Source organism: Homo sapiens, chromosome 2, assembly GCF_000001405.40.
Source record: "Homo sapiens chromosome 2, GRCh38.p14 Primary Assembly".
Classification (NCBI taxonomy): Eukaryota; Metazoa; Chordata; class Mammalia; order Primates; family Hominidae; genus Homo; species Homo sapiens.
This window is the reverse complement of record NC_000002.12, coordinates 95,856,203-95,871,453: the sequence shown is the minus strand read 5'-3', so window position 1 is coordinate 95,871,453 and position 15,251 is coordinate 95,856,203. Positions and strand designations below refer to the sequence as shown.

Genomic DNA, 15,251 nt, shown 5'->3' with positions numbered 1-15,251 from the left:
CTGTAAAGTATTTTATTTCTCCTTCACTTATGAAGCTTAGTTTGGCAGGATATGAAATTCTGGGTTGAAAATTCTTTTCTTTAAGAATGTTGAATATTGGCCCCCACTCTCTTCCGGCTTGTAGAGTTTCTGCCGAGAGATCCACTGTTAGTCTGATGGGCTTCTCTTTGTGGGCAACCTGACCTTTCTCTCTGGCTGCCCTTAACATTTTTTCCTTCATTTCAACTTTGGTGAATCTGACAATTATGTGTCTTGGAGTTGCTCTTCTCAAGGGGTATTTTTGTGGCGTTGTCTGTATTTCCTGAATCTGAATGTTGGCCTGCCTTGCTAGATTGGGGAAATTCTCCTGGATAATATCCTGCAGTGTGTTTTCCAACTTGGTTCCATTCTCCCCGTGACTTTCAGGTACACCAATCAGATGTAGATTTGGTCTTTTCACTTAGTCCCATATTTCTTGGAGGCTTTGTTTGTTTCTTTTCATTCTTTTTTCTCTCAACTTCCCTTCTCGTTTCATTTCATTCATTTCATCTTCCATCACTGATACCCTTTCTTCCAGTTGATTGCATCGGCTCCTGAGGCTTCTGCACTCTTCACATAGTTCTCGAGCCTCGGCTTTCAGCTTCATCAGCTCCTTTAAGCACTTCTCTGTATTGGTTATTCTAGGTATACATTCGTCTAAATTTTTTTTCAAAGTTTTTAACTTCTTCGCCTTTGGTTTGAATTTCCTCCTGTAGCTCAGAGTAGTTTGATCATCTGAAGCCTTCTTCTCTCAACTCGTCAAAGTCATTCTCCGTCCAGCTTTGTTCTGTTGCTGGTGAGGAACTGCATTCCTTTGGAAGAGGAGAGGCGCTCTGCTTTTTAGAGTTTCCAGTTTTTCTGCTCTGTTTTTTCCCCATCTTTGAGGTTTTATCTACTTTTGGTCTTTGATGATGGTGATGTACAGATGGGTTTTTGATGTGGATGTCCTTTCTGTTTGTTAGTTTTCCTTCTACCAGAGAGAACCCTCAGCTGCAGGTCTGTTGGAGTTTGCTAGAGGTCCACTCCAGACCCTGTCTGCCTGGGTATCAGCAGTGGTGGCTGCAGAACAGCAGATTTTCGTGAACCGCGAATGCTGCTGTGTGATCGTTCCTCTGGGAGTTTTGTCTCAGAGGAGTACCCGGCTGTGTGAGGTGTCAGTCTGCCCCTACCTGGGGGTGCCTCCCAGTTAGGCTGCTCGGGGGTCAGTGGTCAGGGTCTCACTTGAGTAGGCAGTCTGCCCATTCTCAGATCTCCAGCTGCATGCTGGGAGAACCACTGCTGTCTTCAAAGCTATCAGACAGGGACATTTAAGTCTGCAGAGGTTACTGCTGTCTTTTTGTTTCTCTGTGCCCTGCCCCCAGAGGTGGAGCCTACAGAGGCAGGCAGGCCTCCTTGAGCTGTGGTGGGCTCCACCCAGTTCGAGCTTCCCAGCTGCTTTGTTTACCTAAGCAAGCCTGGGCAATGGCAGGTGCCCCTCCCCCAGCCTCACTGCCACCTTGCAGTTTGATCTCAGACTGCTGTGCTAGCAATTAGTTAGACTCCATGGGCGTAGGACCCTCTGAGCCAGGTGCAGGATATAATTTCCTGGTGTGCCGTTTTTTAAGCCCATCGGAAAAGTGCAGTATTAGGGTGGGAGTAACCCAATTTTCCAGGTGCTGTCTGTCACCCCTTTCTTTGACTAGGAAAGGGAACTCCCTGACCCCTTCCACTTCCTGAGTGAGGCAATGCCTCACCCTCCTTTGGGTCACGCACGGTGCACTGCACCCACTGTCCAGCACCCACTGTCTGGCACTCTTTAGTGAGATGAACCTGGTACCTCAGATGGAAATGCAGAAACCACCCATCTTCTGCGTCGCTCACGCTGGGAGCTGTAGACTGGAGCTGTTCCTATTCAGCCATCTTGGCTGCCAGACAAAGAATTTGCTTTTCTTACTGACTGGTGGTGATTTTGGCTCCTAATAATTTAAAGTTTGCCTAATCATTAGTTAGTAATATTAGGAAAAAGCACTCAAGTGTACACTGTTCATATAGTGATAAAATCTTTTAAAGTGACTGCCTTTATAGTACCACAAGTCATCTCCTAATTCATTTTTGGGAAATTTAACACATAATGAATTATTCAAGTTTAGTCCAAACAAACAGTGACAAATTAAAGTTTCATGGTTTATGTTTTTCACTGATTTTAGGCTAATGCAAATTATTTTTCACTTCTTAGTTACAATCCAGTGATTTGGGAGTAGGTAAACATAGATTAAGAAGTTTGATATTAAACTTTAATTATTTTTTAATTTTTCTCTTTTTACACTTGATTATTTAAAGATAAAGTTATTTTTAAAACATGTACTCTGACAGAAAAGACATCTAAGAAAGAAAACTAGCAAATTTATCTTCCACTTTTGCATGTGCAAAAATTGTCTCAACAACTAGTAGTGAAAAAGTGTTGTGATAGAAAGGACCTCTTTATATATGCAGGACTTACTTGTGCACAAAAGTATGAGAGAATGTGGATCAAACAAGACAAACTAGGGTAAAAAAAACCTTTAAAATTCATCACAAATAAGTTAAAGCAGAGTTTTGGTGAAATTTGTGAAAATTACAAAACTGCTTGTATTGAGGAAGAGCAACTACATAATAACTCTACAGGAAGAACAAACTTAAGTAAAAACCTTCTAATTTGACAAATGATTCACCTGATTGTCAGGAAAGTGATGCATCTGGCATGTCTGTCTCTGTAGTAGTCCAGATATTTCCTGAACAAAAATAACCCAGTCTCAAAAATGCCTTTCTTTCTCATTCATACTCTGGGTCCCCAGAATATGCTTGCCAGTCACCTTCAGAGCTTTATTTAAATACAAATAAAGTAGACTGTGAAAACGACAACAAACCAGATACTGAACATGTTTTTAACTCAGACAAGGAAAATTTTTATAATGATACTGAAAGTACAAAAGCAAGAAACCCAGAAGTAGCTATGGATGAAATAAAAGAAGACAAATAGGTTGTGAGGCAAATGACAAAAAACCAAAACACCGCTAATTGGAAATTAAACATCGGACATATGCCTCAATTTAGTGATTCAAAAAGCCTTTTAGGTATGTGGCTTACCTGCTCCAAAGAAATGAAGCATGTGATTTAAAAAAAAAAAAAAAGATGATGGTGTTTCTGTTGTTACAAACAGTACAAAACCAATACAGAATGTGTTCCAGAAGCCGTTATGTGACAACTGTAGTGCAAATAAGTATGAAAGCATAAAACTTGAATTAGAAAATGTGCATTATTCTCCACCACATGGTGACAGAACATCAGCAGTATGTCTAGAAGTGGAATTAAGTGATATATGCAAAGATTTAAGAATGAGGTAAGCATATTACAAGTAAAGTAGAGTTCCTGGCTTTGGAGAAAGTTCAACTTCCAAAAGACTTAGAGGGTCACTTGCTGCTACTCTGGTTTTTCTCTTCACCAATTATTTGATCCATTTGAATTGTTTTACTTATGAAAATCTCTTGTGTAAAATGGGGTAATCTAAATACCTAATTGTATGTATAAATAGATTGTTTTTGCAATTAAAATAACTCAAGCTCAGGAAGACATTCTCTTAATCTTTGTTCCTTAATTAACCCAAGTCTCTCTGTCAGTTTTCTAAATAGCATAGGAACTGGGAAACTAATTTATCCATAGACCATGTGGTCTTCTGAACTAGAGTCAACATAAAGGAAATTGCTTAAAAAAAAAGTACAGAACAGGTACCTGTGTTTGTGCTCATATAAACAGATGGGCAATTCCCACTTCTGTACATTTTGTATATGCTATAAATATTTTGGGGACATTTTGAAACAGTGTTATTTATTTTGTAGGTGAAAAACCAAATACATTCTAGGGATGACCTTGATGACATAATTCAGTCATCTCAAACAGTCTCAGAGGACGGTGACTCGCTTTGCTGTAATTGTAAGAATGTCATATTACTCATTGATCAACATGAAATGAAGTGTAAAGGTAGGACCAATGCATAAATATAAGGCTTTTTAAAAATCCTATAGCAATGTATGCACACATTGCTTAACACTGTACCATAGAGTACTGATATGTTACAAGAATGTTCATCTCAGAAATATGCCTTATGTTAAAATAGAATGAAAGCAACTGTATCTTGTACCTTCTCAGCCAAGGGCTATGATCATTTCACTGTACTTTTCTCAGTGTGAATGATACACACAGTGTGTTTGTTTACTCTGCTTCTCTTCTATGCCATTACCCCTTTACCCATGGTCATGTTACCATTTTCTCCCACCTGAAATACTGTGATAACCCTCTAACTGTCTTTTCTACTATTCCACCTTCCAAAACCATGGCCTGTTCTGCAATCATAATTATATAGTTGTAAAAAATCACACCTGATCATGTTACCTGCTTGCTGAAAACCCAGCTGCCATTTATTGCTATAAGGTATGGATTTCAGTCCTCGAGCTTTATACTGCATCACTGCATACCCTTCTCTGTGTCACAGCCAGTGCCTTAGGTGTTTGCTCCTACAATCAGTAGCTTTAGTGTGGTATAATTGATATGCGATACAGTGCACACATGTAAAAGGTACCATTTGATAAGTTTTAACAGATGTATACACATGTGAAACTATTACCATCATCGAGATAGTCAACATATATCCATCACCCACTAACGTCTCCTCATGGCCCTTCATATTCCTGTTTTTAAAAGCTGCTAAATGGTTTTCCAAAATATTTGTACTATTTTCTATTCTCATCAGCAGTAAATGACCATTCCAGTTGCTATGTTGTCACACTACTGCTGCATTTATTTTTTTAAATTTTAGTTATTCTGATGGGTGTATTATGTATATTCTTATGGGTTTAATGTACATGATCCTAATGACTAAAATGTTGAGCATCTTTCCATGTGTTTATTTGCCATCTGTACATCTTCTTTGTTGAACTGTCTTTTCACATCTTCTGCATATAAAAAAGTAGGTTGATGTTTTCTTACGTGTTGAATTTTAATAATTCTGTATGTATTTGGATACTATTACTTTTAGCTACTTTTTTACAAGGGTATTTTTGCCAGTTTTTGGGTTGACTTTTCACTTGCTTTGTAGTATCTTTTGAAGAGCAGAAGATTTTAATCGTAATGAAATCCAATTTAATTGTTGAATTACAGATTTTGCATTTTGTGTCATATGTAAAAATGTTTGCCTAGCACAAGGTCACAAAGATTTTTCCTGTGTTTGTTCTAGAAATTTTATAGATTTGGATCTTCCATTTAAATCTGTGCTCCATTTTGAGTTTCCTTTTGTCTATGGAGTGAGGTGAGGTATGGATTCAAGTTCACTTTTTGGATATGGACAGCCAATTGTTCCAACACCACATGTTGAAAAGGCTATCCTTTCTCCACTGCATTGCCATCCTGCCTTTGTCAGTCATAAGCTGGTTGCTTATGTGTTATCTATTTCTGGACTGTCTGTTGAATTTTATTAATTTGCAGGTGCTCCCCAAATTGTGGGAAACCCAGTGTTTGAGTCAAAAGCAATTTAATACTTCAGTAAACCCACTGTAAAGTCAGTAAGTCAAACCACCTTAAGTTGGGGATTGTCTGAATTTGACTTTCTTTATACAGGTTGAGCATTGCTAATTTAAATATCCCAAATCTGAAATGCTCTAAAACCCCAGACTTTTTGATTGCCAACACAGACACCACAGTGGAAAAATTCTACATCCGACCTCATGTATACAAACATTGTTTCATGCCCCAAATTATTAAAAGTATTGTTTAAAATTACCTTCAGTCTTTGTGTACAAGGTAAATATGAAAAACAAATGTATTCTGTGTTTAGACTTGGGTCCTATCCCCAAGATATCTCATCATGTATATGCAAATATTCCAAAATCCAAAATCTGAAAAATTTCTAGTCTGAAGCATTTTGAATAAGGGATACTCAGCCTGTACCTATGGCACACTGTTTTGGTTACTATTGATTTATAGTAATTGTTGAAATGAATCCTCCAATTTTGTTCTTTGTTCTGTTTTGACTGTGCTAGATCCTTTGCATTTTCTCATGAACTTTAGAATCAGCTTATCAATAAAATAAAGACTGCTCGCTTGTTGGAAATTAAGTTGGGATTGGGTCATATTTATAGATTAATTTGGGGAGAATTGACATCTTAACAATAGCGAATCTACTCCTCAATAAAGTGTATGTCTGCTTTTATAGAGGTAATATTTAATTTTCTCAGTAGTATTTTGTAGTTTTTAGTTTATAGGTCTTTTCATATTTTATCAGATTTATCTGTATTTCATTTTTGATGAAGTTGTAAATGATAGTTTACTTAATGTAGATGTATTTGACTTTATTTATACAGGTTGAGCATTGCTAATCCAAATATACATTTTTATAAAACTATAGAAAATGATAGTTTTAAAATTTTCATTTGATTGTTTATCACTAGCATATAGAAATACAGTTAATTTTTCTATATTGAATTTGTATCCTTCAATCTTGTTAAACTCACTTATTAGTTCTGGCACATTGTTGGTAGATTTGATCAGATTTTCTTCATAGACCAAAGGTTGTTAAACCTTTCTTTCTCAAACTACCCTGTTACTAAGGATAGTGAATATTTTAGGCTTGTGGCAAAAGGGTCTCTTTTGCAGCTGATAAACTCTGCCATTTTAGTATGAGAGCAGCCATAGATCATCCATAAATTAATGAACACAGCTGTGTTCCAATAAAAGCTTATCAGACAAGAAGCTGGCCCACAGGTTGGGGTTTACCCATACCTATTTTATGGTCATGGTTGTGTATAAAGACAATTTTATTTCTTTTTTTAAACTTGGATGCCTCTTATTTCTTTTTCTTGCCTGACTGCATTAACTAGAATCTTCAGAACAATGCTACAAACAAGTAGTGAAAGCAGACATTCCCATGTTCTTCCTCATCTTATGGGAAATGCATTCAGTTTTTCACTATGATGCACGTTAGCTGTAGGTTCATCATAGACGTTGTTTATCATGCTGAAGAACTTCCCTTGGATTCTTATGTTACTGAGAGTGTTTCTTCTTTGAGACATCAGGAGTAAATTTTATCAGATGCCTGTGTCTGTTGGGATGATCCTATGGGTCTTCTCTTTCAGTTTGTTTTGTGGTAAATAATGATGGTGTTTCAATGTTAAGCCAACCTTCCATTTCTGGAATAAACCCCATTTGTTTATGATGTATTACCTTTTCATTATACTGTCGGATACAATTTACTAAAGTCTCATTTAGAATTTATTATAAAGACTTTTATTTTTAGACCAGTTTTATGTTCCTGTCAAAATTGAGAGGGAGGTTCAGATATTTTTTTGTATACCCCCAATCCAATACATGTTTAGCCTCCTTCATTACCAGTATCCTTCACCATAGTGGTAGTTGCTATGATAGATGAGCCTAAATTGACACATCACAATCACCCCAAGCCCATAATTTGCATTGGGGTTCACTCTTGGTACTGTACATGTATGGATTTGGACAAATGTACAATGATGTGTATCCATGTTATATAAATTATTTTGACTTCCCTAAAAATCCTCTGTGCTCTGCCTATGTATCTTTTCCTGCTGTCTCTTACCCTTTGGCACCCTTTTACTTTATCCATAGTTTTGCCTTTTCCTGATCATATAGTTGGAACCATACAGTAAGTAGCCTTTTCAGATTAGCTTATGTCACTTGGTAATATGCATTTAAGTTTCCTTCACATATTTTCATGAATTGATTGCTCATTTCTTTATGTGTAGAGTGATATTCCACTGTATGGCTGTGTAACCACAGTTTATTCACTCCACTATGGGAGGATGTCTTCGTTGCATCACAAATTGGTTGAATTTTTACATTCGTGCTCATGAGGGAATTTTCTTCTTGGTAATATTTTCTGGTTTTGGTTCAGGGTAAAGCTAACATTACAGACTGAGTTGAGATATACTCCTTCTTTCTGTTTCTTTTGGGAGAGTTTATGTATAATTGTATTATTTTCTTCCAGTAATGTTTTGTAGAATTCACCAGCATAGCCAGCTGGGTCTGGAGTTTTCTTTTAGGAAGGTTTTTAACTATAACTTAACTTTCTTTTATAGATATAGGGCAATTCACGTTATCTATTGCTTCTTGATTGAGATTTGCTAATTTTCATTTTTAAAGGAATTTGTTAATTTTATCTAAGTTGTCCTGTTTACTTACATAGAAATTATAATATCTTGTTATATTTTTAGTATCTGTAGAATCTATAATTATGTCACATTGTTTATTTCTGAAACTAGTAATTTGTATTGTTTCTTTTATTCGGAGCAGCCTGGCTAAATGGAGCTTTATCACATTTATTGAGCTCCTCAAGGTGTTTTGTGTTGTTGATTTTTTTCTATTGTTTCTTCTGGAACCAACAGTATAACAAAATACCATAGACTGGTTCAAACAACAGAAGTTGATTTCTCGCAGTTGTGGGTTCAGCAAAGTCCAAGATCCAGATGCTGTCGTGTTTGGTGTATGATTAGGGAACACGTCCTAGTTCATGAATGCTTTTTCTCTGTGCCCTCACTTGGCAGAAGGGGTGAAGGAGATCTGGGGTCTGTTGTATAAGAGCACTAAGTACTAATCCCATTCATTAGGGCTTTGCTCTCATGACCAACTACCTGTAAAAATCCCCCCTCCTAATACCGTCACATCTGTGATTGGCTTTCAGCATATAAATTTTGGGGAAGACAAACATTCAGACCACAGCAGATGTTTATTATTTCCTTTCCTCTGCTTGCTTTGGGTTTAAGTCACTCTTCTTTTATCTAGTTGCTTAAGGTAGAAGTCAAAGTCATTGATTTAAGACTCTTCTAATGTAGACATTCAGCAGTGCTAAAAATTTGTATTCAAGTACAGCTGTAGCTGCATTCCACAAATTCTGGTTGATGAATTTTTATTCAGTTCAGAATATTTTCTATTTTCTATTTCTATTTTCATTACCTGTTTGACCCAGGGTTATTTAGATGTGTGTTACTTAGTTTCCAAATATTTGTGTATTTGCCAGAGTTATTTTTGTTATCGGTCTTTAATCTGATTGATTTGTGGTCAGGGCACATACTTTGTATGACTTAAATCCTTCTGACTCAATCCTTTGAGAGTTGTTGTATGGCCTAAAATATGGTCTATTTTGGTAAGTGTTCCGTGGGTACTTGGAAAGCATAGTGTTGTTCAAGTCTATTCTCGCTGATTTTCTGCCTTCTTGTTCTATCACTTATTGAGTAAAGGGTATTGAAACCTCAGATTACCTAGAAATTGTCTGTTACTTTTTGTAGTTCTATCCACTTTGGTCTCATATATTGCGAGGCTGGTTTGTTATTAGGGGCATAAAGACTTAGGATTGTTATGTTTTGTTGATTAACTGAACCTTTTACAATTGTGACATGACCTTTGTTATTTATTGCTGGAATGTTTTTTTTTTTGCTATGAAATCTACTTTGGTATTAATACAGCCACACCTGCTCAGCTGCCTTTGCCAACTGTTAGCATGTATCTTTTTCCATCCTTACAACCAATTTGTGTCTTTACATTTAAAGTGCTTTTCTTATAGGCAGCCTGTAGTTGGGTCTTGCTTTCTTGCTGAGCCTGACAGTCTGTGTTATAGTTGAGGTTCTTAGACAAGTGTCATTTATAATGTGATTATTGATATAGTTATGTTTGTCTGGTAGCTGTGTGATTGCTATTAGTCCCAACTGTTCTGTGTTCCCCTTCTTTTCCTGCTTTCCTTTAGATTAGTCAACTGTTTTTTATGATTCAATTTTATATATATTTTTGGGTTTATTAGCGATAACTGTTTTGCTATCTTAGTGTTTAGGATTTTTAGTATATAATTTTAACTTATCACAGTTCACCTTCAGTAATATTATACATCCTAGATGGTATAAAAAATGACAATGATACATTTTCATTTTTTTCTGTCCCAGACACTTCCTTCCTGAATCTGTGGGATTATGGTTTGTGTTAAGGTTACAATATTTTTGGCCATTTTTTCTTTAATTTTTTTTCTGTCTCTTCTTTTTTATTTGAGGAGTTATCTATTAACTGCTTGAAAGTTTCTTGCAGTTTATCGTGTCAAATTTAGGAATTTTTCCTTTGTTATCTCTAATTTGTGTTTATTTCCATCCACTATAGTTTTTATTTGTGACAATGTAATTTGCGTCTCTACAAGTATGGTTTGTGTTTTTTTTAAAAAAAAACCTTCCCTGCCTCCACTTATTATCTTGAGTTTTATTTGGAGTACAGAGATTTACTTATAATCTTTCCATTCTTGCTTTTAGATTTGGGGTAATTCCTAACTCCTGAGGCAAGACCTTTCTGAGTATTCATTGTCCTGTGAAGTATGTGGTATTTTGGCCTGGCTCATGGGAATGGACCCTCTTCCAGTCATTGTGTGAACCCCAGACATCGTTTCTGCTAATTTTCTTTAACTGTTTTTTTTAAATTTTATTTTTCATTGTTCTTAGGAAGTTTCCTAGCACACAAGCACTTTTCATTACTCCACTAAATACCCAAGAGGGAATCTCTGCACATCTCCAGGATTTGTTTCCTGTACTGCTTTTTTCTCTCCAGTTTTCTGTCCTGTGATCTCTATCTGCTTTCGTTTTACTGGCCTCTCAGCTTCATCACCCCAGCTCTATGTCAGATTTTCTCCCTTTGTCATGGCCTCGAACCTCCGTCAAAACTCTGTCAAAAGAACTGGGATATTTGTAAGGCCTGCTATATTTGTTTTCTGTCTTTCAGTGATCACCTACCATCTTCATTGCCTGAAGTCCACTGTGTTGAAAATCAGTTTAATGTATTTTGTCTGTTTTGTTTTTTATTCATTCAGATAAGTTGAAAAATCAGTATCTGTTACTCCATCAGAGCTAGTAACAGATTGCAGCAGAGCTTCAGCACAGCACATGCTGCAAACTAGCCAGAGTGCTTTGCTTTCTTCTTTGCTTAACTGCTTCTTTTTCATCCTTCATTTCTCAGTGTAGCATCTCTTCCTCAGGGAAATCTTCCCTGGGTGAAGTATAGATCAAATTATCTTATGCAATCACATAACTATGTTTTTTTTTTTTTTTACAGGACCTATCTGAGTTTATAACTGTCACCTTTTTATCTTGGTTCTTCACTATACTTTAAGCTAAAACAATAGCAGAGGTGTTGTCTTACCTGCAGACCTTACTATAATATCTTCCACTTTGTAGGCACTCAATATGTACATACTTGTTCAACATATGAATGAATACATGTTAAAAATGCACAGTCCTTTATATCCAAAAATCTACTCATGTATTTTATCTCTACTTTGTTTTTTCCTGGTTACAGATTGTGTTCACCTATTGAAAATTAAAAAGACATTTTGTTTATGTAAAAGATTAACAGAACTTAAAGATAATCACTGTGAGCAACTTAGAGTAAAAATTCGAAAACTGAAAAATAAGGCTAGTGTACTACAAAAGAGACTATCTGAAAAAGAAGAAATAAAATCGCAGTTAAAGCATGAAACACTTGAATTGGAAAAAGAACTCTGTAGTTTGAGGTATGACCTAGTTTTAAATAAATGTTTGAACTGTTTGTTTTATATTAAAGACGTATAAGGAGAAGTTTTGTAATTGCGAACTTTCCTTCTAGGATTTAACAGGGAAGAAAGCTTCTTAATCTTATGGAGTGTGAAATTATTGGATATAATATCACAAGTTCTTAATTGTGATACTTCTCTAATAATTAAATGCATATTCTTTTAAATCATAATTTTAATGGCTGTATAGAATTTTACCCTTTGGAAATCTCATTATTTAATTGAAGAATTGAATTTTAGGTTTTAAAAAGTTTTTGTAATAATGCTACAAGGAACATCTTTTATATACACATAGTTTTCTACATTTCTAATTATTTACATTGGATAAATTCTTCTGGTTAAAGTATAGAAACTTTTTTAGATCTGTTTTAGATCTTTGATCAATATTTCTAAATTGTTCTTAAGAATGTTTATATTAATTTATAATTCAACCAACAGAGTATAAAACAGATATTTTTCTTTACCCAGAATAATTATTTTAAAAATTATCAGCCGGGTGCAGTGGCTCATGACTGTAATCCCAGCACTTTGGTAGGCCGAGGTGGGCAGATCACGAGGTCAGGAGTTCGAGACCAGTCTGCCCAACATAGTGAAATGCTATCTCTACTAAAAATACAAAAAATTAGCCAGGTGTGGTGGTTGCACCTGTAATCCCAGCTACTCAGGAGGCTGAGGCAGGAGAATCGCATGAACCTGGGAGGCAGAGGTTGCAGTGAGCAGAGATTGCACCAGTGCACTCCAGCCCAGTGATAGTAGGAGACTCCCTCTCAAAAAAAAAAAAAGTATCCAGTTTTATTCTTAATATGTAGGGAATAAAAAGTAAAATGGAAAGTGATTACTGATTAGCTTATTCAACATCTCTCTCTCTCTGTTATGTAGATAAAATTAATTCAGTTTTATGCTGAAGACATGTATTATTCTTTATTGTTTAATTAAATATTAGATCTTGTGTTGTTCCAAAACAGATTTTACAATTGGTTATAAAGTACATACTAATCAGCAGGATAGACTGAAAGTGTTACCCAAAAAACAATCTTAAAAAGTGTAGGGTAACATATTACATTCTTAACCTAGTCTTGGATTACAGTAATCTGCTGATATATGTTTCATAAAGACATCGAAAATGCTATCTTACAATGTAAATTATGTTTAGGGATACCTGCAATGAATGTTTCATGAAGATGAAAATGTATTTCTAGTGAATGTATCAACTTGTTTATAAAAAGTAACTTTATGTTAATTAACTCTAAATGATTCATCCTAATTGAGGAGTAATTACTGTGTGAAGAAAAGATGATTTTTATCTTGTAACTTTACTGAATAATTTTCAACATCCTTTTTCATAATATTTACTAGAGTTACTAGTAATAGAAACTTATGCAGGATGTTCTTTTATCAATACATTTCAACTTATACATGCCCTTTGGATGAGATTGAGGTGAGAAATTAAAAACATGAGAACTAGAAAGAAAAATAGTATTTAAGAACATAGAAATTTTATTAGGATAATAAACCAACATACGAATGTTTTATTTTCTAATATCAACAAAGAGAGTCAAACTCTGTAAGATATTTGAAGAGATTTATTCTGAGCCAAACATGAGTGACCATGGCCCCCGACACAGCCCTCAGGAGGTCCTGAGAACATGTGCCCAAGGTGGTTGGGTCGCAGCTTGGTTTTATACATTTTAGAGAAGCATGAGACAGCAATCAAATACATGTAAGAAATACATTGGTTTGGTTCAGAAAGGCAGGCCAACTCAAAGCTGGGGCTTCCAGGCTGTAGGTAAATTTAAACATTTTCTGGTTGACAATTGGTTGAGTTTATTTGAAGACCTGGGATTAATGGAAAGAAATGTTCAGGTTAAGATAAATGATTGTGGAAACCAAGTTTTACTGTGCAGAGGAATCTCTCAGCAGACTTCAGAGACAGCAGATTGTAAAATGTTTCTTATCAGACCCAAAAGGGTGCCTGGGTCTCAGCTGAATATCCCCTGGATCTGCATAGAAAGGAAGGAAAACAAAGGGGAAAGGGGGTTCTCTATAGAATGTGGATTTTTCCCACAAGAGACTTTGCAGGGCAATTTCAAGGCATGGCAAGGAAATATATTTTGGATTAAATATTTTCTTCCTTGTCTCGTAAGGTTATGCCAGAGTCAGATTGAAAAGCAAGTCACAATATACAGGGTCAAATAAAACCCATCTGATGAGAATCCATGGTTTGTAGGGCACGACTCCCTGGACCCCTTAGGTAGGAATTTGGGTAAGATAAAAAATTAGAGCTTAGTCCTCACTGATAAGATAAATTCTAAGATAAGTATATTTACAGATTTGCCATACAGCAAGAAAAAAAGAAAAGAAGAAATGTTGAAGAGTTGCACCAAAAAGTTAGGGAAAAGTTAAGAATCACAGAAGAGCAATATAGGATAGAAGCTGATGTGACAAAACCAATTAAACCGGCTCTCAAATCAGCAGAGGTGGAATTGAAGACAGGAGGAAATAATTCAAATCAGGTAAATTAATGTTTGGTAAAACTTCATATTTCTACTCTTATTAATATTACTTATACCATCTCTTTTGTTTAATGTACATTATTTAGGCCTGAACAATCCCCAAATTTTATTTCATCTTAAAAATGAATCATGGCATTTATAACTATAATTATTTATAATAAATCTTGAAATATTTTATTTTAGTTCAAAGGCCTTTTGAAAACAATGCTATTCTACAATATATACTTAATGATATTGTTAGTATTTTGTTCCTAGTGACATAGTTCAGCATATTTTCCCCTATTTCATATTAATTACATTTCGAATGTTATGGAAAAGGAATAAAAGTTATCACAATAGCAAATAATCTCATGATTTTCTAAGAAGAGCTTTATAGATTTAATTTTCTTGACTTTTGGTGTCTTGAAATAAAAGATTATTTTTGTATGTATATATCTACCTCACAGAAGTTACTGATTTGATGGAAGAGCACTAGGAATAGAGTCAGAAAAGCTGGGAAAAATCCTGCAGCTTGCTTATATTTTTAACCTTTTGCTATAGAATTATAACTAAATGAGTTCATTGATTTGTGCGTGTAAAAGTGCTTAGTATAATGCCTAGACTTATCATTTATCAATAAATGTCATTCTTAAAATTGACCATAACAATATTAGAAAAGTAGAATATCTATACAATATTTTAGAAAAAGAGAACTTAAAGAATTTGGAAAATGTCATTCATCTGTCCAAATATCTGCCAAGCTAAGGCTCTCACTATAGGGAGAGGTATAGTTTAGATGTTAGAGTGTAAACCCAATTTTTTAATGTGGTCATAGTTATTAATTCTTTATGCCTTGCAATTTGTTGTAATTCAGTAAAAGCCTTTTTTTATCCTGAAATTTAAAAAAATTATCTAGTGGTTTCTTTTTTGCTTTCATGGATTCACTGTCTTCAAATAAACTTTTGAACTTTGGGGAATTTATGCTGTATGAGGTTTGAGGTTTTGACTCAACTTCTTTTTTCCCAGTTAGATATCCAGTTATGGCAACCTCTCATTGTATAAATGTTCGGGTTATTATTTAATTTCAGAAGCAATCACAATATGTTATCCTATTGGATACTAGTTAC

The 15,251-nt window shown here is 35.2% G+C and overlaps 1 protein-coding gene across 2 annotated transcripts in view; it reads left to right on the top strand.

Annotated features, from left to right (window-relative positions):
* The window catches only part of ANKRD36C (ankyrin repeat domain 36C), a 142,893-nt gene that overhangs the window by 120,371 nt on the left and 7,271 nt on the right, over positions 1–15,251 (top strand). For both annotated transcript variants that reach the window (NM_001310154.3, NM_001393982.1), the window contains 3 exons: positions 3,873–4,014; positions 11,380–11,593; positions 13,962–14,145. In NM_001310154.3, the coding sequence (NP_001297083.1) occupies positions 3,873–4,014; positions 11,380–11,593; positions 13,962–14,145 (540 nt within the window). The remainder of the gene's footprint in view (positions 1–3,872; positions 4,015–11,379; positions 11,594–13,961; positions 14,146–15,251) is intronic.